General features: G+C 43.7%; 1 protein-coding gene across 5 annotated transcripts in view; it reads right to left on the bottom strand.

Annotated features, from left to right (window-relative positions):
* The window catches only part of MAPRE2 (microtubule associated protein RP/EB family member 2), a 166,444-nt gene that overhangs the window by 5,719 nt on the left and 136,221 nt on the right, over positions 1-24,504 (bottom strand). For all 5 annotated transcript variants that reach the window (NR_046177.2, NM_001143826.3, NM_001143827.3 and 2 more), the window contains 2 exons: positions 10,665-10,804; positions 5,562-5,720 (listed from right to left, as the gene is read on the bottom strand). Coding sequence is in view for 4 of the 5 variants with exons in the window: in NM_001143826.3 (NP_001137298.1) it covers positions 5,562-5,720; positions 10,665-10,804 (299 nt within the window). In the remaining variant the exon portion in view is untranslated. The remainder of the gene's footprint in view (positions 1-5,561; positions 5,721-10,664; positions 10,805-24,504) is intronic.

The following is a 24,504-nucleotide window of genomic DNA, read 5'->3' as shown; positions in this document are numbered from 1 at the left end:
GTGTGTTCTTGCTGGGTGGCTACACATCTGTCTCTCCAGCCGGGCTCTGAGCCCTCCACGGTGAGTTATATTGTTTTATTCAGCATCCTAACTCTTGAACGTGAGTGTGGTGTCTTCCATATTGTATTGCTCAAACTTCAGCTGGTCTAAAGTATGCTTTTCTTTATATAATTGTTTCTGTGCATGTTAGACTTCTGAAAAGAAGATTTCAGAAATGAGGAACTGTTTTACATTTTGCAGAAATTCTCATTTGCTCACGTCACAACTGGGAGTTTATTGTGGGCTAATGGAGCTAAAGTTGAAAGACCTAGATTCAAGTAATCATTGAGCCTGTAATAAACTAGAGGGCCAGGAAGCCACTAGGCTAGGCCTCCTTTCCAAACACATCCAACAAGGCAGCAGGTTTGCTGGCCTTTTCTATGGCTCTGAGGCTTCCAGATGCCCAGGGCAGCTGCTTCTCATGCACATCCAGCTTAAATCTCAGTCACAGGACCCCTCTGTGATGTCATGCATCTGCAGGAACTGTGGACCCCAGACAACTCTCACTGGGAAATACCAGCAAAGCTCCCAATTTATCAATGGATTGCTCATGCTTGGCCTGCAAGTTAAGGCAGTCTGAGAGTCTGGCAGAACACATCTGTAATTCTGGGGTGTTACAAATCACAACTGAGAGCTCACAGCCCACACAATGCTATTGCAGGCTCACAGGAAAAAACAATCTTTTTCTATGCCTTATACGAGAATGAAGAACTTAAACCCATGTCTAAGTAGGAGGCCAGGCAAAACCTATACCAAATATGAGACTAATGCACCAGAGCATCACCTAATAATTCTAATATGTGCGTATCAATCTATTCACATCTTTCCGTTGAGCTGTGAGTGATTGTAAGAAAACTATCATTCTTTAGTTTCCTTATAATCATTAGATAGAGAGGCAAACTGGAAGATGGTATTGAAGAAGGCTCTAGGCCACTGTGGGAGGAAAATGGGGGCAAAGGAGAGAGGAAGGCCCATCAGGAAGCTCCAACAGCTCCTGGCTTCCTAGCTGTGGAAGGCACCACCCTGCAGCCTTGTCTCCTGCCACCTTGCCAGCTGTGGCTGCTGGTCTTTCTTCTCTGCTTTGCTCATGCAGTTTCTCCCTACCTTAGCTCTAGAGCTGTTGATGTTCCCAGTCACCCTGTAACATCCAACACAAATGCCATCTTCGCTGTGAAGTCTCTGCGTGGTCCTCCAGGCGGCTTTTATCTGCTCCCCACACAAGTTTATTTATGTCCCCATTATCACATTTGTCATCATCTGACACATATTCCAGTTAGTCATGTCCCTGTCTGTCTCCCTTACTGGGACTGGGAGCTCCTCTGAGGTAGGGTTGGGTCTTTTTCTATAGCCAGCACTTAGTCCAGTGACAAGAGGCCCTCCAGTGACAGAAGCACAGCCTGTCCCTGCAGGAAACAAGTAACTGTTCATAAGCTGGTGCCCTTCAGCTGACAGAATCCACAGGGAGCAGGTAACCAATGCTTCAGCCCAGACTCCTGTGGCTCCAAGTTACGTATCAGGGGAAAACATAATGAGAATAAGTATCTGCTCTGGAAACTTCCATTAGGTCTCTACAACTGGGAATTGAACCACCTCTGTTGATTTTCTGCTCAAAACTCCCACCTGGATTTTCACATCTTCCAAACACCATATTCTGGGATGGCTTAAATATAACAATCAGAGGCCAATCATCACAAAATAAGAGTGTTAAGTAATCACTCAGGGGAAGAGATCTCCCCAGCAAATACTCCTACCTCAAATGTCAAAGCAAAGCATGTCCATCTATGTTTAGCTGAACAGCATGTGCTGCAACCTGGCCTTCTAGCTCCAGGAGGGCTCTGGGAAAGGCAGACCACCAGGCATCTGTGCCATCTCAGCTCTGTACACACAGCTGTACCAACAGCATCATGAACAAAGTGCTGGCACTTCCTCCCAGACGCCATGTACATCATCCCTGCACATGGGTGCAAATCTACCCATCACACAAGTGTGGGGCTGGCCAGAAAACAGGACACAATGTCAGGGGAAAGCACAGTGGGGCAAAGGCAGGATTCCCAGAGATGGGGGCAGTGGTGTATGATGGCATCGTAACCACTAAGCACATTGTTTTTCAAAACCGTTGCTTTTCCAGACCATAGACATAGGGGAAGGCAGGCAAGGGTACAGCTTTAGGAAGGCTCACTCCCCCAGTGTAGGACTGGCTATGTGCTTCTGGGTGGTTCCAGAGAAACCAGATTCCATATTCTCAGGAAGAAATGAAAATGCTTGGAGGCTTTAAGATATCTAGGATGATTTCTTGGACCTCTGGGAGGTGGAGTGCTAGGGGGCAGAAAGGAGAGTATCTAGCTGCTCCTGAGCCTCTCGGCAGAGTCATGCATGCACAGGATATGGAAAGCACCCAGCACGGCATCCAGGCCCACTGCAGCCTTCCTTTTCTTTCTGCATAAAAACCAAGGTTTAAACAAATGGGTCTTGTCACATTCCAAATAAGGACACCTGGCATATTCCAGATCAAACGGCTTACTCTCTGTAGAAAACTCAGTATAGCCTGATGTGTCTCTTTTGGAGTTTTGCAGACACAAAGTTGCAATAAAAATATCCTGGAACTAGAAAAATTAAGCCAGTAACTGCATTTGAACATCTTGCTCTGGTAACCCACACATGCAATTTATGTTAAGGCTGTTTTCTCTGCCAGATTCAACTGCCTGGTTACTCTGAGTAATTCTCTTCTTGAATTTTGGGTACTCCCCAGCATATACTTACAGGGCAATGCCTCTGTCTCTTTCCCTCTCTCTTCCTTCCCTTAAAGCTATTTGATGATGTCAGCGCAGTGCCAGAGATACAACAACAAAGTGGGTTTAAAAAAGTTACAAACTGGCTAGAAGAAAACTGAAGTTCTTTGTGGATGCTCATTTAAAATCAGATGAATGCCCCGAAAAAGAGGCCACAACTAGGCTTTCGAAGGTGAAAATCAACAAAACGAGGTAAGGGGAGTTATTTAGAGAAAACCCACGTAAAAATTTGGAAACTTTCTTCTTCACACACAGGGCGTGTTCAACTGAAGACTGTCAAGTAGACAGTTAATCTTGAGGCTTTCCCCAACTAGTACTATGTTCGTTTCCTCCCTGCTCCATGGTACCCACCACTCGGCGAGGGAGGTAACTCAGTCCTTATGATTTTAGCCTCTGAGTTAGATAAACCTGGGTTCAAATCCTAGTGCTGGAGCTTATTAACTATGAGCCATTGGGTTAGTAATTTCATCTGTAAAATGTAGATAAGTAATTACTCACCTCACAGGGATGTGGTTAAGGTCAGTAATCTACGTAGTAAATGAATACAATCCCTAGCACATGCTAAATGCTCAATCAGTATTAGCCATTACTACTGTCATAATAGCACTTAAAAGGTGCCTCAGACTTGGAGAAGGGAGAACATAAACTCAGGATTCAGATTTCAGGGTTCAAATGGAAATTATTCTGCTCCTAGACTTGGGAAAGTTATTCAACCTCTCTGCTGCCTTAGTTTCCCTCATCTGTACAATGGGATGACAATAGCTACCTAATAGGATTCTCTAGAGAATTATAGGAGCTAATAAGCTAATATACGTCAAGTCCTAGACCCTTCTACCTCAAACCCCAACCAGGTGTCTCAGAAGAGGTGTCTGCTAAACTTATTATTTAGTCTTAATGAATGATGAGGCCTTAAAGTGTTATTTCTTCTTGGGGTGCTTGCATTTTAGTTGCATGTACATTGCAGGAATGGCTCTCTGAATCCAGATGGTGGCAAGGTGGTGCTGGGATGTATGTGTGTGTGGGGTCGGGTGGTGATGGGTATGGCAGAACAGAAACTGAGTGCGGTCATCTAGGTAGACCCCCTGGAAATCACACCCAGGAGGCAAGGGCTCTTGCCTGAGGCTGTCCACCTATCTTAGCCGGGAATTCAGTGGACCTCTCCAACACTTCATTTGGAGTTCACTGTCAGACAGTGCTCCTGCACATGGACTCCCTCTTGGGACAAAATCTGGCATGAGGTTAGACTCAGGGTTTCCCCGTTTGAAGTGCAGGGCTGGGAAGAAGATTTGATCCTGCACGCCGGCCTTATTCCCACTAGCAGGCGTTATCGCAGACAGCAGCGCCATTCACTCAGTCTCATGGCGCTGTGGAGATCTCAGCTGATTTAGCCTCAAATAAGCTTGTGAAGAGAATAACCATAGTCCATCTAGTGCTTACAGAGGGCAAGCACTCTGTACACACAGGACGTCATATATGTGACACTGTGGCAGCTGCAGACATACTACAAATCAGTCTCTGGTTTATTCCATCAGATCTGAAAATACTGAGAACCGTATTTTATGAAGCCATCATGGAAACCAGGTGGATTATCAGGGCTTCAAATTCTGAGCTATTGATAACCAATAAATAATTTAAATCAAAATATTTGGAAGAAGTGAAAAAAAAAAGTGATAAAGAGCTTCCAAACCACAGATACAGTGCCTTACAGTTTAGGAGAATTTCACTGCTAGTATTTTGAGGCATAAATGGAGTAAACATTTGCCTGGGATTCAGCTGGAATAAGAGAGTAAACTTGCTGATGGCTTGCTATGTCCTATAGAAATATCAACACATACAACTCCACTGGAGGCCCTCAGAACATCACAGGCTCAGAACACCCAGAGACCGGGACACTTCCACTAGCATCAGCCTGGCATAAGAGAAGCTGGACACCCCAACCCCTCAACTTGGCTCTGTGGAAGGTGAAGCCACATCAGGCTCCCACCTCCACCTCTGGCTGCTGGGCCTCTCTCTCCTGGCACTGGCAGACCCGGGGTGCCTTGCCTCAGTCTCTGCCATGCATCCTGCCCCGCTTTCTCTCCTTGCTTCCTAGATTCTTATTCCTCCTCCATTTCTCACATCTGCTTTTCATCACCCTGACACAGCCACATCCTGGGTCTCCATCAGCACTTGTGAATAGCAGCACTTGTGAATAGCAGCACTTGTGAATAGCAACTCTGGTGGCAGCTCCTCCCCATAAAGGAGATGGGCATGTGGCTGTCCCACAGCTCTAGTCTGTCCTGGCAATGAGTAACCAAGACAACCAGCTACGAAATAAAAACAGTCAATTATGGGGCTTCTGGGGATGGGAAAAGCATCTAGATTATTTTCTCCTTTAACTACACTCTGTACTTGCATGAAGAAGGAGGAATCCGTATACAAATTCTTAATGCTCATTTGCTCAGAGAGCTGCAGACCACTTGCAGTTTGGCTGCATAAGCATATTTTTCTGTCAAAGCCTTCCCCACCCCACCTGTCTCTTCCCAGATTAATTTATGACTGCCTGTCCCACAGGCATGGGTCAATAGATCATGATGATAACGATGTTTATTCCTTTGGGACTATCAGGTGCACTTGGCTGAGCAGTAATTCTCATTGAGGTCCTGGGGAAGTATTCTAAGGAGTGCTGATCTACTGTGTTTTGACCAAGAGAGTCATTTTAGAACACAGGAGTCACATGCTCCTCACACTTACGTGTTCTTCTGAAGCATACAGGATGTCCATTAGTCTCTGCACGAGGTCATCATTTTCCTGCCCGTGTTCTTGGCAGAGTAGCTCGATCTCTCTCAACTTCCCAAAGTAGAAATCCCTTTCCTTTTCCACGCCTTCAAGGGCAAGTTTTAATGAATGTACCTGCAAGGGAGTGAGAGTGAAGAAAAAAAACCACCCAAAATATAGTATAAGACATGACCAGCAATTCCTGTGAATAAAACCCAAAAGAGAGAGAGAGAGAGAAGCAGAAATAACCAATGTGTAAGTCTGAGGGAGAAACAACAGGGCTGTTGTCTGGAGCTTGACCCTGGGCCAAAACGTCCAATTCTCCACAGCACTCTGGTCATTCCCTTCAGGCAACTGAGCGTTTATTAACCAGGGACAGAGTGGTCTTTCTGCTTGTGCGGTTCCCCGCAGGCTGGAAGTGAGCTTTCGTCTCCTGCTAACATAGGCTGGAACACATCTTTCCTCTAACTTCTTACTATGGTCTGAAAGTTTGTATCTCCTCAAAATGTGTATGTTGAAATCCTAACACCCAAGGTGATGGTGTTAGGAGGTGGGGCCTTTGGGAGGTGGCTGTCATGGGGTTAGAGCCCTTATGAATAGGATGAGTGCCCTGATAAGAGGCCCAATCGAGCTTATTCATCCTTTCAGCATGTGAAGACAGTGAGAAGGTGCCATCTATGAAGAATGGGGCCTCAAGCAGACGCTGAATCTACTGGCGCCTTGATCTTGGACATCCCAGTCTCCAGAACTGTGAGAAGTAAATTTCTGTTGTTTATAAGTCACCCTGTCTACAGTACTCTGCTCTAGCAGCCTGAACAGACTGAAATACTTGTTCATCTTCTGCAGGAAATGGAGAATGGGAGGAGGAAAGAGAAGCAGAACAGAGAGGCTGTAAGCATGGCTATTTAGTTTTATGTTGAGGACTCTCCGTCCCTTAGATCACTTACATGGAAGCCACGCTTAGCTAGACCCTTTCACAAATGATACTGAGCCACATTAGACAAACGCTCTCCAGGGAGAAACTGAGGGTTCGTGACACGAGGAAAACTGGGTAAGACCCAAAGCCTGGCTGAGTGGATCTGTCTCAATTTCTCTAGTTCGGGCTTTGGGTACGTCACTGGGAAGGCAGGAGGGCAAGGAAGGCCTATTCCCTCACCACAGTAGCCCTCATTCCTCTTTCTTCCCCTCGATCCTGGTTCAGAGTTTCCAGGGTTGTGCAGCTTCTCAGGGTGGCTACAGAACAGTCCAAGTGAAGGGAGGAGGCAGTGGTCAAAAGAGGGTCCAAGAACTCGGACACCCAGAGCTAAAGAAACCCTCACGGGGTTGTGACTAGATCTGGTTTCAAATCTCAGTCTACCATAGTCCCACAGGCGCAGCAGCTACACTCAGGCCCAAACTATTACCCCGTTCCTGGTCTCTGAGGATCCCCATTTGTTTAAACCCTTCGTTTATTTTTATGTAGGGTATATGCTTCAGGTGGTAAATTAAGTCTTTCATGGCCCTCCTTAGGTAAAATCTCTCTGTCATTACCTTAAAAATCACCCCTAATAGAATTTCAAAAAATTACATTTGGAATGCAAATTTCCTCCTCTCTCCTTCTAATAATTCTGGGCCTTTGTGTATGCTTTATCCATCTGGAATTACTGATTCATTCAAACACACACTGAGCCCATGCAGTGTCCATCCTCTTCCTGTGCACCTGGCAAACCATATCCATCCTGTAGATTCAGGGTTACCCTCACTGACACCCCCATGTGGCTGCTTGCAAAGCAGTGGAGAACCAGTTTGCTTTTAACTCATTTCTATTAATACTATAGCTTGCACATTTGTAAGATGTACAAAAAAACTGAAGGTGACCAGCTTAAATTCCAGAAAAAAGAAAACTCTTATTCTAGAAATCCTTTCCTGCTTTAAAACAAACCAACCTCTCCCCAGGTTTGGACATAAAATCCATCTCAACCCTGTGCTAGTGCCAGCAGATGGATCTGTGGCAGCTTAGATGTGCCACCCCCCCCCAGCCCCCTGTACCAGGCAAGGACACATCCAACCCACGAAAATAGGTCTGTCTGGCTCCCTAGGGCTTTGTTCTGCACAATGAACACATAGCTGAGGCTTTTCCAGACAACCCTTTAGTGCAAATCAGGCTTCAGTGATATTCCACATGCATTAGGTAACAGCTGCCACTACCAACATTCCCTAGTAAAAACCAACACTAGCTAACTTACATGATGAAAGATCAATTGGCAAGCAAAATTCCACTGTCATAGTCCCCCTCACAAAGACCAATGCCAGCCTCATCCCTCTTGGGTTATGGCAGATGCTTAAGCAATGAAGGAGATGCTGTAGATGATCTTAGAAAATGAGAAGCAGCACTCTTCTTACCATTCTTCCAACTCCTCCCAGTGTGGCCATAGACTGCAGGTTCCTGCAGGCCTTGCTGTTTCAGTGATGGCTATAGTCTCTGCCTGGGCTAATCGACACCCATCCGTGGCCCCACCCGCGCTCCGAGCGAAGACCAACCTACTTCCAGTTGGCTAATCCACTGACTCCAACCCACTTCTGGGTGGCTAACCCACTATACAGAACGAGTCCCTAATTACTTTCTTTATGACTTTTCCTAAATCTTTTGATTCATTTCTATCATGGGAATGGTCTAGCATAGTGGTACTTCTGTAGTGCATCATGGGAAATTGCCTGAGAAAATGCAGGAGGCCAAGCAAATGAGACTCCTCTAAGTTTATGGCACTTGTCTCTTTCTCAGTGATGACTGTGCTTCACCCTTCAGCATCAGGGTCTCCCCTCAGCCTCTCCTCGCCCGAGTGTTCTTTGTTCCAACACCATGATGCCTGTGGGGCCCCCTACCAGGCTCAGGGGGCATCCTGTTGGCTCCAAGACAGAAAAAGGAGGGAACGTCAACAGTGAACCACGGATATAAATTTGGAGTAAGTGCTCAGTAATACTGATTGAAGGACTCAGAATTCAGGGTGTGTCTTCCTTCTGAGGGACAGACAGGGGCAGGCACATTCCTCGGTGTGAAGGTGTTGGGGGCAGAAATGGGGAGGCAGGCCTTTGGGAAGTAATGAAAGGATTATAACAGGAAGGCGGCACTGGCCTATTCCTCTCTCTTCTCACTCGGTTCTCTGAGTGGCATTGTGGATGGTAGCATGGTTTAGTGGAGGCATTTTAGAGGTCTGAGTTCCCTGGGGATGGGGCTCTGTGTGTGATCTGGAGAGCTAGCGGGAGCCTACAGCCAGCCCCAAGGAGGGGAAGTGGGGCTGGGCGGTTCAGGCTATAAGCGGGAGAGAACCTCAAGGTTTCCACGTGGTTATACTTTGGGCTGGAGAGGTGGGACACTGGGTGTGGCAGACGGGGAAGAGAGGGAGGAGTCATGAAGAAACACAAGATAAGAAAGATACCAAAAGAATTTGGGTTCCTTAAGGAAAAAGAGTTCTACAGTTGTGCCTTGGTATCTGAGAGGAACTGATTCCAGGATGTCCCTCAGATATGAAAACCCATGGATGCTGAAGTCCCTGATATAAGACGATACAAGATGGCATCGTATTTGCATACAACCTACGCACATACTCCTGTATACTTTAAATTATCTCTACATTACTTATAATACCTAATACAATGTAAAGTTATGTTGTACTGTTTTTAATTTGCATTAGCTTTTATGTTTGTATTGCTATTTTTTATTTTGAATATTTGCAATACTTGGTTGCTTGAATGTGCAGATGTGGTAACCCATGGATATGGGAGGACTAACTTTAGGTCCAAGGCATTACAGCCTTTAGGTCTACTCTGATTTTCTTGGAGCCTGAGGCATGTGGACCAAGGTTCATTATGACTGTCCTTACTGCCTTTTAATTGAGAAGAAGTCATTATTGGAAACAGGGCTCAAACTGAGAATCAGCAGGTAATTAGAACATTCTAGTTTCCAAATCCAAGTCCTACCTGCTGGATGGCTTGTTTTTATACCTTTTTCCATAAAGTGATCAGAATTGTAAAGAAACACCCTAGCTAAGAAACTGCCTCCATTAAACTAGATTCTTGATTACAAATATACAATTATCACAAAAGCTGTTTTTAAACTCTTGCTGGCTCATCAAGAATAAGATTAATCACCACGACGGGCCCAGTGAGCGGCTGGGAACAGCCTGGGGCCCTGAAGTAAAGGCTCCTCTCATAGCGGCAGGGTAGCCAGGATAAAAGGCTCTCCTCGATGGGCCCTCCACTACCCGTTGCTTTTATTACTTTTAAGCTACATATAATCTTAGGAAAGATGAGCAGTACCTAAGATTTTATAATGAAAATTTCAAAGACTAGTGGAGCTAGTTAGATTTTACCATAACTGTGAGGCATATTAAATTAAAAGGAAAGCTCTTCTACTTAAAACACAATTGTGGCCTTTCAGATCCCCCAAATATTGGGTTCGGTGCTCCTGCAGCACCCAACTTCTGCCATTGTGGGAAGTATCAGGTTTTTTGTTTTGCTTGTGTAATAACTTACTGTGTGCAACTGCTATCTCCAAGTTCTATGAAGGAAGGAAAGGTATCTATTTTACTACCTTTATATTACCAGCATTAAGCGTAATATCTTTCATATAGAATAAGCTCAACTACTAATAGCTGAAGAAAGAAAGGAAGAAGGGAAAAAAGAAGAGAGTGGGAGGGAGACAGACTAACCCTGACCCAGCCTTTAAAAAGAGAGGGAGGCAGACTCACCCTAATGCAGCACTATCTAGAATGGCCAGAAGTGGGCAGGATGGGCAACGGTCTAGCCTGGAGCTCTTGACGGCCCTGAGGAGCAGGGGAGGGGAAGGTAGCCTGAAGTCTGCAGCAAGGCTGAGCCATCTGCCCCATCTTAATGTACAGCTTTGAGATTTGTGACTAACACTTTTTATTCATCATGGGCTACTGATTTTGTCTTCGAACAATTCTTTTTATTCTCACTTACTTGAAACCAAGGATTCTTCCTTACCCTTCCCTCCCTTACCCCAGTCCTAGGGGATCCTAGGCCCCCTACCTCTTACACACGTCACTGCTCCTAGAGGCGTGGCCAGAGCTGATGCATTACCTGTTCATTAAGCTGTATGACCTGCGTTTCTAAATCTTTATCGGATTTGGATGCTGAGCCACTGGAAGAAGCCCTTTTGGCTGATGAGGGTCGAGAAGGTGTGGATCCTGGTTTAGCTGCTGGACTTGATTTAGCTGCACCTGAAAGCAATCAGAATAAATGATAAATACTGGCAATATTAAAAGTGTGTTTTAGATACATAGAAAATGAATGATATGAAAAGAGCTTACAACAACATATAAGAGATACCTCCAGTGATCCCTTCCCATATAGAAGGAGTATAAATATTTCAGCAGGAGTGTACACAGTTAAAGTACGGTTGTTTTGGGCAACTTATCTCACCTTTGTGAGTGCTGTTTTTTTTTTCCTCAAGTAACATGAGGTTAATGCCATTGTCCCTTCTCCCTCTGGAGATATAAGAGTAAGAGAACAAAGGGATTTTAAGATTTTTAAGAGGAAAGGTTTTTAGATAAACTTAAAAGTATCACCCTAATTGAATTTCTAACAAACAAGAGAAAAGATCTTATAACCAATTAATACTTCAGCAGAAATATCAATCCAAATGTATTTTTTTCTCTTTTAAAACATTTCCTAGCTTTAGCCACTAAAGTACCTAAGAGCAATGACATCTCCATAGCAGTGGCACTCCTGATGCCCAAACTTTGGTTTCTAAATGTTATTCTGCAATAAAAGGGCTTCTTGAGAAATGGCTGATTCTAGGGATGGTGCAGGGAATGTTCAGGGTAAGCTTAGGATATCTTGTGTCAAAAAGCAAGGAGGTGCTCCAGGATTTATATCAAGAGCTTGAAGGGGCTCTCAACTAGTCACACTTGGGACAGCTGAATATCAGGAAGAACAATAGCTTCATTTATTGTAATGCACTGGATAAATAAAAATCTATTAATCTATAATGACTGAAAAAGAGATGGGCTGGAAGACAGGGAGAGGGAGAGGGAAGAGAAAAGAATATAAAGATCTTTTCAATCCTTTTTAAGGAACACTGGCAGCCACTAAATATGCAAGAAATGCTGGAACTAGAAAATAAATCACAATTTTGCAACATCCGTAACTAATAAGCGATTCACAAAGGGCTCGTCATTGGACACGTAAACTTTAGGTGAGAGGGTTTTGGGGAACAAGATATTTACATGTGTTACTCTAAAGGGGAAAACACACCCTTACAATGGGGAGATCTGAGAGTCAGCACCTTAAGGAAGTGATCCACTTAGCATCACTAATAATGTTGTGAAGTGGAAAAAAGAAAAACCATTGGTTTCAGGTAAGACCTCGCCTATCTGGAGCTCAGGTCACAATAGACTCTCACTACCTAGAACAACGCGCAGACACAAGAATGGCCTCTGCGGCCAAAATAGATGTCCCAATGTATACGCAGTGTACTTCATGGATTATGAAATTCCAAGCCACTACTGGGGGCCCGTCCATTCCCTTTTCCTCTGAACACAGTCCCTGTGAAGTGGCATCTCTGTCTTCCACTACCCCTTCAGTGTGGTGCAGGTGTTCCTTCTCTGTGCTCCCACTGGCCTAATTCCCCAACCCCTGCTCTTATTTAGAGCAAGAAACACATCTTACTCATCTTTGTAACCCCAGTGCGTAGCACAATGCTCAGCTGAACATGTATTTGCTTAAAGAGCAAAAGTTTAACTAACTATATAAACAAGTAAATAAAACTTTTAGTGATGCGGTTTCCAATTTTACAGTTTATTTCCAACTTCACAGTTTATTAGTACCAAGAGATTAGCAAGAGCCGAAGGGTTATAAAGACAGGTATGTGACAGCAGTTACAAGTTTCAACCAACATCCTAATTACAAAGTAGCAAACAGAAAGACCATAAAATTTATATTTGTGTCTTCAGGTGCCTGGGGTCATTAGCTCCGGATGCAAGTCACACCCCCTAGAAGCACTGACAGCATTACAGCCTTTAAATATAAGCCTTTCTGTTAAAAATTTTTAAAAAATAAACTTCTTTAAAAACACAGGGAGGTGCCTAATATACTTTAAAATGAGAATGGTTAAATTGGGAAAGACTTAAAATAGTTTGAATATTCTCAGGGTAAATCTGTGCAGAAGAGCTTCCCCAGGGTTCCAGAGAGCTGACGTTTTGCTTTGTGACTGGTATATGGGCTTCAGCTCTGTTGAAGCCCATATAAAACACTCCTGGAACACTACTTCCATGTCCCGCTGACCAAGTTCTTTAACCCAAAGGCAAACCAACTGGGTAAAGAAAACAAGTAGACAAGCAGGCAGGGGAGGCAGGGTGAGGACACCTGATCTGGCAAAGAATCTTCTCTGAGGCAGCCACCAGCCTAACAGCTGGGGAGACAGCTCGGAAATATCAAGTTCTTTCAGATCTTTTTATAAGCAATACCTCATATTTTAATATAAAGGAAGTCTAACAGAAAGCAGTGCGAAGACTACCTATGATCAACACCCCTTACACACATATTTGTTAAGTGCCTGCCATGGGCCATGCACTGGAGGCCCCTAAAAATGCCTAAGATGCAGTCTTTGTTCTCTAGCTCAGTCTCACACAGAGCAACAGCTATCTAAGAATTTCTGGTATGGCACCTTCAATGTTCTCAGGAACAAGCCAGGGTTCTATGACTCCATGACCATCCCATGTGACGTGGTTTGGCTGTGTCCCCACCCAAATCTCATCTTGAATTGTAGTTCCCATAATCCCCACATGTTGTGGGAGGGACCCCGTGGCAGGTAATTGAAGCATGGGGGGCGGTTACCTCCATGTTGTTCTTGTGATATTGAGTGAGTTCTCATGAGATCTGACGGTTTTTTAAGGGGCTTTTTCCCTCTTTGCTTGGCACTTCCTCCTTCCTGCTGCCGTGTGAAGAGGGACATGTTTGCTTCCCCTTCAGCCATAATTTTAAGTTTTCTGAGGCCTCCCTAGCCCTGAGAAACTGTGAGTCAATTAAACCTCTTTTCTTTATAAATTATCCTGTCTTGGGCAGTTCTTTATGGCACTGTAAGAACTAATACACCATGCAAGTCAGGCTGTATTCTCTCTGCCTCCTTCCTGTCCCCTACCTCCTCTGAGCAAGTAGGTCTACCACCCTGCCAGTCTCAGCTCAGATGTCACTTTGTCTGGGAGGCCACAGTGCCCTGAACACTTTCCACTGTTGTGGTACAGCTATTTCTTTAATGTCTACTTCTCCCATGAACATAAACCCTAGGACATAGGTGTTTCATCTGTTTTAGTCACCTTATGCTCTCACCACCAATCACAGTGCCTAACCCAGAGAAATTCAATAATAGTTTTTATAATTCATTATATAAGACCTAGCAGAGGCATCTCTCCAGGGTAAGGACACCAGGGGAAGCTTGAGGAGCTGATGCCAATGTCAAAGTCACAGACACAAAGAACCAGCAAGACAAGAAGGAAACCAAATAAAAACCATCAGCCTCCCAGAAAGAGAGCTCCTCCTTGGTTTCCTCTTAAGATTACCTTCTGTAAATTACTTAGGCTCCTTACCTACACAATTAGGAGAGGTGGAGTAAACTCAGTCAGTATATGCTTAACTCTGAGTGGTCTATGCTGGGCTGTCCAAGCCTGTGCCATGCTCACTGGCCCCTCCTGAGGGACACAGCCTTGCAGAGGGGGCTTCCCTAGATAGCATGTGACGACCCACCCACCCTGGCAGTCTTTCATAGGCAGGTCAGCAACAAAAAAGTCGTTGCAATAACTGAGCTAGGATCATCAGACACACTCATGTTCTGGTATCTGGCCTTATCCAGTCTGATGTCAATTTAAAAAGAAAAAATCATGGAAGAAACAGAAGCTGATTGCTTACAATAAAGGGCTACCACTAATTATATTCTCAGGGTATTATCAAACAGAGCTTGAAAAAAAAACTGAAATGTTTGATAAGATGTAGAAGGGGTCATGGCAAGCCAAACCCCTGGGCAAAGCCACGTTATCGGGGAAGAGCAACTATGAAGAAGCAGAGGACACTGGCCAGGAGAGCAGTGAGACACGCAGGGAGAATCCCCGGCCGCTGGAGGCGCTCAGCATGGCTCACGGCAGGGAGGGAGGGCACAGCTGCTGCAGTTACTGATGCTCTCCCCCTTCTAGCCACACACAGCCACTTGGGGAAACAGGTTTTGTTTTGTTTTCTTCCCCTGAGGAAATATCCCTTTCTGTTAACAGAGCCCAACTTCAACCTGCCTGTGTGGCTTGGACTCACCAAGCTGTGGTTCAGCAGAGTCTCGGCCCTAAAATGGCATCTGTGCTCACGAATCAGGCAAAGGTCAGGTGGTGGCCTAGGGCCCCAGGGCTTTCCCACTGGCACACACACGTGCACCTCCTGGATCCCTTTGAGATGAGAGAGGTGCAGGCGATGAAAATCAGGCTCGGCAACCTCTGCTGCTCCACCACCTACACACATGTGGGATGGAAGCACCGCTTCTGCCCCACCGTTAAGCCTCACTAACGGGGACACAGTGCAGGCTGAGTGAAGGAAGAAATGGAAAAAAAATTCTAAACATTTAATAATCAATCACTTAGGTAACTAGTATTTGATATTTAAAATGAGAGGGATCTTGAAATTCTATTGTTCGGAGAAAAACTGATAACAGGAAAATAAATGATGCATGAGGATATGTGAGATCAGGCCTACTTAACTACATTTTTACCTTCAAATGAATAAATGTGAAGAAATTAAAGAACAGGAAAGGCATGGGAAAGATCTTAGTATCTTCCGAGGTTTGGGTAAAACAACAACTACAACAAAAAAACCCCATAATTAACAGTTAAACTAAAAGCTTGTTTTCAAATAAATGTAAAGTGGGCTCATTAAATCATCCCAAGCTGCAATTTGAAACGGAAGTAATTTACCCCTCACAGCTGTCACATGATTAAGAAATACTAAATGTATAAAAATAAAAATGAAACCTTTTGTCCTCATTATATTCAATGATTTCATGTTTTCTTTTTCAGAATAAATAAAAGACAATATCCTAACATACAGCATAACTCTTTAGAGTTAAGAACTTGTTTTTGTTTATTTGCTTTCTAGGTCTCGCTGCCTTCTAACAACCACACTCTAAAATTTCTGGGGCTGCCAGATACTCTTTCCCCCTTACCTGGGCACTAGAACAAGAATGTTCTCACAAAACTGCACAGTTATCAATGTCATAAACTTAACATTGATAGAATACTTTTATGTGAGCTACCATCTGTATTCCAATCTCGTAAACTGCTCCAAACATGTCTCTGACAGCATCCAATCCTGGTTTTAGATACTGAAGTCCTCAATAGCTATCTTCTTGCTTCCCAGAATGCCCCACTCCATCAGTGATTTGACTTCTGTACCTTTACCAGGCCTCTTGGCTCAATGATGCTTATGTGGAAAACATTTACATAACAGCTTTTACAGAGAGTGCACCTACTTTGGCTGTAATACAGATATAGATTTTTTTTTCTTGCAGCTGATTCAAACATTTCAAATTTTTTTTCAAGCTGCATTTGAGGATGTCCTGAGAACATAATTAGTAGTGGCCCTGTTTACAAGTAACCATTTTGCCCTCAAGCTTTTCTACCTCCCTAATTTTACCTTTCAAAATAAAAAGGAATCTCAGAAGCAGAGGAAAAAAGCATAAATTCTGTCTAAGTCCCTGTAATTCTCTGAATTTGCTCACTGGACATGATTTACAATGCTAGTCTTTGAGCAGTTGTGTCTTAATTAATGCCTTTAGGATTTGGGGGTATAAATATGATTCTGACATTTTAACCATAGTTGTAAAAAAATTCGGAGTGGTCAGATTCACTGCCTTAGTGAAGCCAGGGCATTACCGTGTCTAATGTCAATAACTAGTAGCTTGCTTAATGTTTATGGAAAACGCTGCAACAAGTTGGGCATATGAGGCCCAATGGATTCAGAAGGATGAAGCAAATCAAAGCACTGGACTTGGCTTTATCCTTCATGGCCAAGACTCTGCTGGAATTTAGAAATTCTTTTCACATAATCTGCCATATTATTCCTTTTGCCAAAGTCATAAACAGAGGAGATAAAAATATGACATTAATACTGTTGACAAGAGACATTAAAAACATGAGCGTGTGCACACACACATGCAGGCGGCCACCACTCTTCTGGTCATGGTCAATCCCAATTTTTCTCTACTTTGAGAGCCCCTTCCCTTCCCAAACCATCCCCCTAGCCGTTCTCACTCAATTGAAGAAAACCCAGAGCTGAACAACTATGGCAGAAGATACACTGCATCTGTATTGATTCATTGTGGATGGATTTGATATTACTTTCTTATCCCCTGCACCTTGGCAAAGAGATTATATTTTTTAACAGATGATGAGCTTGGTTAAAAAAAAAAGTAATGTCATTGCTGGAGAAAGGGTATGGGCTAGACTGATGAGGAGAGTGAATTCCATAGGAAGAGGACTTCCTCAGTAACTGAACTGACACCACAGCCCTCATACTGCAATAGGGTTGCCAGTCCCTACAGAATTCTGATTACTGCAAATTCAAGTTATATTGACCTAGTCTTTCCTTCAAAACTGCCTCCGTACTGTCACTTTGTAGATTCTGTAATCTGCTCTGAGCTGAGGGCAAAAAAGCACCTCAGTGGACAGATTTCCATCCAAATGAAACTTTAACAGGGTTCTGGGATGCTCTGATTCATGAGATCACTAGGAGGCTGGTTTTTTAATTCTGAAATTGGCAGTTTACAGCCCTTAGGACTTCTGTTCTGACCAGTGCAGCCAGTGGTGAGGTCTGCAGCTCTTCCTTTTCAGTGGAGGCTCTTAAGAGTGGGCAGTCCTCCTTGAGCAGCTAGGGGCAGCTCCACACAGCAGGCACTAGCCACACCAATCTCGTGGGAATGAAGACCTGGTAGGGAATTGGACATCCTTCACCTGCCTCTAGGGAGGGAGTGAGTGCAGTGGTCAAGAGTGGGGGCTCTGCAGCCAGAGAGCCTTCTTAGGGGTCCCAGCTCCACTACTTCCTGACTGGTGTGGCTTTGTGGCCACCTTGCTTTACATTTAAGAAAGGAGGAGCAGCACCAACTTCTCAGAGTTGGGAGGGGTACATGACTTAATACATGGAAAATGCTTACACAAGGGTCTGGCACACAGCATGTGCTCAATAAATGGTAGCTTACATTACTATTATTACTCAGCAAATAAGACCTGATTCAACAAATGATGCAAAAGTGCACTTGTTTCCCATTTCTAGATACTACTAAAAACAGCTGAAATACTAAGAAAATAAGGCTCATTTTTATTTAAAGAACATTTTTATAAAAATTGATTAACCCAGTTTTTACACAGTGAACAACTACTGTATAAAGATGCACAACTGCATCATGTAAATATGCTCAGCTTCAATAAATTTGTTTTTAGAACCAAAAAATGTGATTAACCCATAACCCACCAATGGGCTCCAAGGCATAGGTTCCTTCCATTCCATGCACTCCCTATCTATCTCCGTCTGTGCTTCTTCTAAATTATCCTAATTCATTCATTTGTGCAAATTTTTATTGAGCCATAACCCTATTATGTACCTGGGAAGCTAACAGGCAGTTGAGATCAAACAATGAATGAAACGCACAAGATGCTTGTCCTTGTGGAATTAACATTCTAACAGGGGAACTAGACAATAAATAATAACATAAATTAGGAAGTGATAGAATAAACTAGAAAATAAGTGCTATGAACAAGAGAAAAGCAGAGCAGGGTTGGGTAGACAGAGCTGGGCTGCGGGTGGGTAAGTAGCAATTTTAAATAGGAATTTCATGGAAGGCCTAAGCATCCACTATGGGTCTTCCTCCAGTTTCAGTTTTTCAACTCAGACCCATGGTACTTTCATGGGCCACACTCACACCAAGGCCACCCAGAAGAACGGAGGTCAGAACACCAAGCACCAGCAGGGCAGCGCCAGGTGCCCCTCTTGCTGGGAGTCCTGCAGCAGTCTGGCACAGACACGGGAGGCGAGAACCTCCTGTGTGGGGTCACCGGGGCTCAAAAGTCTCATTCTTCACAGAAGCCAACAGCTCTTGTAACAAACTCCATAGTCACAACTTCCAGGTTCCCTGCAGGGAACATGCCAGTTGCAGGAGTAACCCTTCCTTCTTCAAGGTCTCTCACAGTAAGTGTGAGACCTGAGCCAAGACCTGAGGCAGGAGAGGAAGGTGGCCGTCTGGACAGCCAGGAGCAGAGCAGGCCAGGCAGAGGAAATGCTGAATGGGGGTGCAAAGGCCCTGCCTTCTCCACTCAGCAGCCAGGTCAGGTGGGTGAGGCAGGGTAAGAATGGGATACTGTAGGTAGACAGAAGGTCAGAGATGTACTGGAAGGGCAGGTCGCAAAGGACCTCGCAAGGGAAAAGGGAAGCCACTGCAGGATCCTGAACAGAGTGACATGATCTAGCTTTGCTTTCAAAAGGCTCACTCTGCCTGCTGTGTTGAGAACAGACCAGGGAGGCTGAGGGGAGCTGCAGAAAGGCCAGCTAGGTGGCTACTGCAGTAATTTTCCTGGGTATGAGCAGTGAGTGCCCAAGACAAGATTTGTTGTGTTTTTGGTAAAGTACTTGCAATGCTATAGTTTAGGAAACCCTATTCTGTACCCTACAGAACAGTCGCCAAATGTCCAGCAATTTCACAAAACCTATGTTTTGCAATGTTAACAGCAACAAAAAGACATTCTGTGATCAATGGCATGTGCTATTGATTCCAAGGGGAGGGCTTAAGAGAAAACGGGCAGTAACAAGAGCTGAGTCAGCCGGTTTCCCTCCCAATCCACTGTTTAGGGGTCATTACAGTGTAAAATAAATGGCTCTGCCCCTGGGAGAGCATACGAGTGAGGCGCGCTGCAGGTCAGGGGCCTGCCGAGGGCATGGCTGCTGTGGCACAGAGTGGTCAGCACCTGAGGACCTCTCTTCGCTGACTTGTGGTCTCAAAGCCTGCCCCTGCCAAGGACAGAGGGCCTGACTCTCCTGAGCATGTCCAGTGAGTGTGAGCCTTCACATACTGAGTTACTTCTGCCCTGCTGCTTACTGTCCCTGCTAGAGATGATGTGCTTATTTTTAGCCATCATGTGATTCTCCAGTATTTTCCAGGCTCTGCTTGAGTCACTCTGGTTTCAGAGAATTTTTCACAGGGGGAAAAATGCAGGAAAGCGTTCTGCATCTTAAAATGGCTCAAGTATTAAAAATTCTCTTTTAAATAGTTATTTCAACATGCTATTTCTTTCAATAAACTACTGACTTTTCACCCCTCGCATCTTGGTAAAATATTAAGTGTCCTTTAAAACACATTAAGTATCACATCCAATCACTATCTTCATTTAAAATATTATTTTTTGATCATTCTCAGAGCAACAGAAATGGTGAGGCTCACTCACCCCAGTGAAAACCACACACACCACATCCCAACAATAATTTAGAGTACCCCTTCGCCTGTTTACTGCAGTAACAGGGGAAGATGGTGACAGAGCCCAGCACACTGAGCCAGCCCACTGGGCAGACGACACACAGGTGTCACCACAACAACTACATCAAGGGTGCTACTGCACTCCTGGTACGCAGCAGTCATTTAACCAAAAAGCTTATACACTAGGATGGTCATTTTGGGGGAACGTAAGTACTAAGTGTATAATGTCTTGTCCTTTAGACTCCAGTCAGAACCCCTGTTGACCAATAACTAGCAAGACCAGTGTTTGCGGTTGTTTTTCCGATGGTGGCCAGCCTGTTGTGCTCCATTAACACCATCTTATCCAGACTCTCCGGCTAAGAGAGACACGGTCTGAGGCCACAGGGCAGGCTGGAGCTCAGGGAAGGGAGAACTCCGCGGTGAGCCCCATGCTCACCAGGCTCCTGGTCCAGGGATCTCTGCTTCTATCAACCGACTAGTAAGTCAGAAATGTGTGTAACATTTATCCCCAATTTCCTCCTCTGCTTTACTTCCCATAACCCATTAATCATCCAATTTTGCTGACTGTATCATCTTACGGTCTCCATCACCCGCATGGCTACTACCTTCATTAAGGCCACTGTCTTCTCCCATGTGGTTTGCTGCAAAGCCTCTCAGCTGGTTTACGAGATTCTAACTGTGCCCTCTCTAATGTGTTTTCTATAATACAAAGCATGCTTCTGCTTAAACTTTTCCATGACTCCCTACTATAAAGTGTAACCTCGGTGTGACAAACAAATCCTACAGTAATCCCCTTACCCTAATGATCTCCACCTCCTGGTGTTCATGCTTTTGTATGATAGCCTCCCCTTGAGTGTATGTAAGACCCGTGACCTGACTCTAACCCACAGAACATGGCAAAGGTAATGGGAGTCACTCTTACCATTATGTTACTACATGACTGTCTTGCTGACAAACACACCAGAGAGACTTCCCCTACTGCCCTGAAGAAGCAGTTGCCACGAAGTAAGCATCTTTGTTGGAAAAGCCCATAAGGCATGGAGGTGCAAGTGGCCTCTAGGAACTGAGGGTGGCCTTCAGCAAGAAACTGAAGCCTTGGTCCTGCAGCCTCAAGTCAACAACTTGAGGGGGCTTGGAAACAAATCTTTCCCCAGTTGAGCCTTTCATGAGACCACCACCCCAGTGGATACCTGGATTATAGTCTGGTGAGATCCTAAAACAGATAACCCAGCTAAGTTGTGCCTGGACTTTACAATCTGTGAAATAATGCATAAGTGTTGTTTTAAGCTGCTAAGTTTGTGATTTTATTTTTGTAGCAATAAGAAGAGCCCCGCTTCCCTCTGCAGTCTCATATCTCAACATCCACACTGAACAACATGCACTTTACTGAATGGAGCACATTCTTTCGACTTCAGCATCCTTGTCTTTCTGCCTGGAATGCTCTTCAATACACCTCCGTTTGGCTAACATCTACTTATACATTAAGTTTTGCTTGAACTTTACTTTTTTCAGAAACCTTTATAGAAGATGTTTAAGACTAGCTCAGGTGTTCTTCCTATATATGCTGAAGGAACTCGCCTCTATTACTATTGCCTATTTATTGTCAGATTTTCCCACTAGGATTTAATTTCCTTGAAAACAGGTCTTGTCAGAATCACTATGTATCTCCAGAATCTCTTACAGTGCTTCAACAAACATTTGTTGACAAACTAAATCAATTAGTAAAAAAGAATGACTGAGAATTCAGGTAAAGCTTTCACAAAAAGAGCAAGGAATCCAAAAAGTAGGAACTGGTAAGAAACATTTTCTAGAAGTAATTATATGAAAAAGACACATGCACACACATGTTTATAGCAGCACAATTCACAATAGCAAAGATATGGAACCAACCTAAGTGCCCATCAACCAATGAGTGGATAAAGAGAATGTGGTATATATACATCACGGAATACTACTCAGCCATAAAAAGGAATGAAATAATATATTTTGCAGCAACTTGGATGGAGCTGGAGACCATTATTCTAAGTGAAATAACTCAGGAATGAAAAATCAAATAGTGCGTGTTCTCATTTCTAAGTGGGAGCTAAGCTATGAGGATGCAAAGGCATAAGAGTGATATGACAGACTTTGGGGATTCGGGGGTGGGGAAGGTTGGGGGCTGAGTGTGGGATAAAAGAGTACATATTGGGTACAGTGTATACTGCTCAGGTGATGGGTGCACTAAAATCTCAGAAATCTCCATAAAACGACTTATCCATATAGCCAAAAACCATCTGTACCCCAAAAACTATTGAAACAAAATTTCAAAAGGAAACATTTTCTGAGCTACTGTGTAGTGTACTAGCATACTTTCTAAGTTACAGTGTAAGGGGCTTCTCAGGTGATGGAAATGACTGGAGAGCACTTCAAAAACAGCCATGTGTTGACTGAGTACTACATCTTCCTTGATCAAGATGAATGCTGCAATGATTCAACTTAAACTCATCAACTCAATAATTATATGAGGACCTTCTACAGGCCAGGCAATGGGGGAACAATGATTGAGCAAGACAAAGTTGAGTTATAGTGTAGTTCACCCAATTCAAAGGGATTCTAGAAAATTCTACAAGTCAAAGCTGTTTTCGATTCCTGCCCAATATACTAAGCAACAAAAAAAAGTATCAATAATAAAGAAAAATAGGTTCACAGACAATCTATGATATTCTGCTGTGGAAACTAAGAATGAATCCTAAGTCACTGTCTTGTGTGGCCTGGCGAGGTTTACAGCTAGGCTGAGAAGTAAAATCTGATATTATTCCTATGGAGAGAAAAGGAATGATCCATCAGATGAGCACATGGGGTTTAGTTATAGAATTAATATTTCAACACATATCAGGAACAGCTATATAAGATTAATGACCCAATGCTGTTTTAAAAAGGGCTAGGATGGTCTGCCTTCCAGTGCAGGGAGGACAACAGTGGAGACCCTCGCCCTCCTCTGCAGAGCTCTGTGTGAAGGAACAGACTCTGAGTGCCCAAATACATGCCAATTGCATCTATCCTTCACTTTCAAATCACCCAGACCATTCACACGGAGAGCTAATTGACTTGAAGGATTAAGAAATCAGAGATTAGTAATTCTACTAATCTAGGGCTCAATATTCTTGGCTTTGTATACACTTCTGCTTTTGAGCTAATAAGAGGCCTGGAACAAATGGTTTTAACATTTCCTGCATCTATAAATGTAGACAGTAACTCTACAGTATAGTAACTCTCTCTCACCCTAGAACCTACTGTAAGGATGAAAGGAAATGTTTTTGAACTTTTGAAAAATCACGATAAAAAAAAATGTCATCGCAATACAACAGCATATGTTCTGCTGTCTCAAGCCTAAGCAACATTGCAGAGCTTTGTATATCCTCCATACACCATGTAATTTGAATTTGGTTGTGAAATTTACCGTGGTTCAGCATAGTGTGGGGAGGAGGTAAGAGGAGAAAACAAGACCACATCCATGACATATGAGAGACGCAATATAATATAATGATGAAAGAGCATGGATTCTGGAATCACAGAGTCAGGCCTTAAATCTTAAGTCCTCTCCTTCTAGTGTGTGACCCTGGCAAGTTACTAAACCTCTCCGTGCCTCAGTTTCCTCAACTTTAAAGTGGAGGGTAATAATATGATCTGTCTTTTAGAATTGCTGAATACATATTAAGTTCTTAGGATAATAGCTGACACTTAATATGTGCTCAATAAATATTTGCTAATATTACTGATGACTCCTTCTATATTTTATTTTTTTGGGACAGGGTTCCACTTTGTTGCCCAGGTTGGAGTGTAGTGGCATGAACATGGCTCATTGCAGCCTTGAACCCCAGGCTCAAGTGATCCTCCCACCTCAGCCTCCTGAGTAGCTGGGACTACAGGTGTGTGCCACCATGCTTGGCTAATTTTTGTATTTTTTGAAAAGACGGGGTTTTGCCATGTTGCCCAGGCTGTTCTCAAATTCCTGAGCTGAAGCAATCCTCCCACCTTGGCCTCCCAAAGAGCTGGGACTACAGGCATGTGCCTGGCCTTCCTTCCACATTTTAAATGTTTTCATTTCCCTTAACTTTCATGAAAAATTCTATTCATATTAAGATTCAGATTCTGAGTTGCAAAGTAATAGTATCACAACATTCTGTAGTTTTTGATCTCTAAGCTTTAAAACACTCTAGTTTTTTTTTAAAAAACAATGTACATACTTTGACCCAGAAAGCCAAAATAATTAAAAATTGCAAATTGAATTAGTAAATCATCTGTCAAAAATGCTACCTCAGTAAGCAAAGAAATTAGGATGGCAATGAAAAATGTATGGCTCTTCCTAGGAAGAAGCCCTTGGGCTTTTCTACAGACGCTGCCAGGAGATTCCTATTTGAAACTCCAGAATTCTTCATAATTTTCTGC

Source organism: Homo sapiens, chromosome 18 (assembly GCF_000001405.40).
Source record: "Homo sapiens chromosome 18, GRCh38.p14 Primary Assembly".
Lineage (NCBI taxonomy): Eukaryota > Metazoa > Chordata > Mammalia > Primates > Hominidae > Homo > Homo sapiens.
Note: the sequence above shows the minus strand (reverse complement) of the source record. Positions and strands in the feature narration are given on the sequence as shown.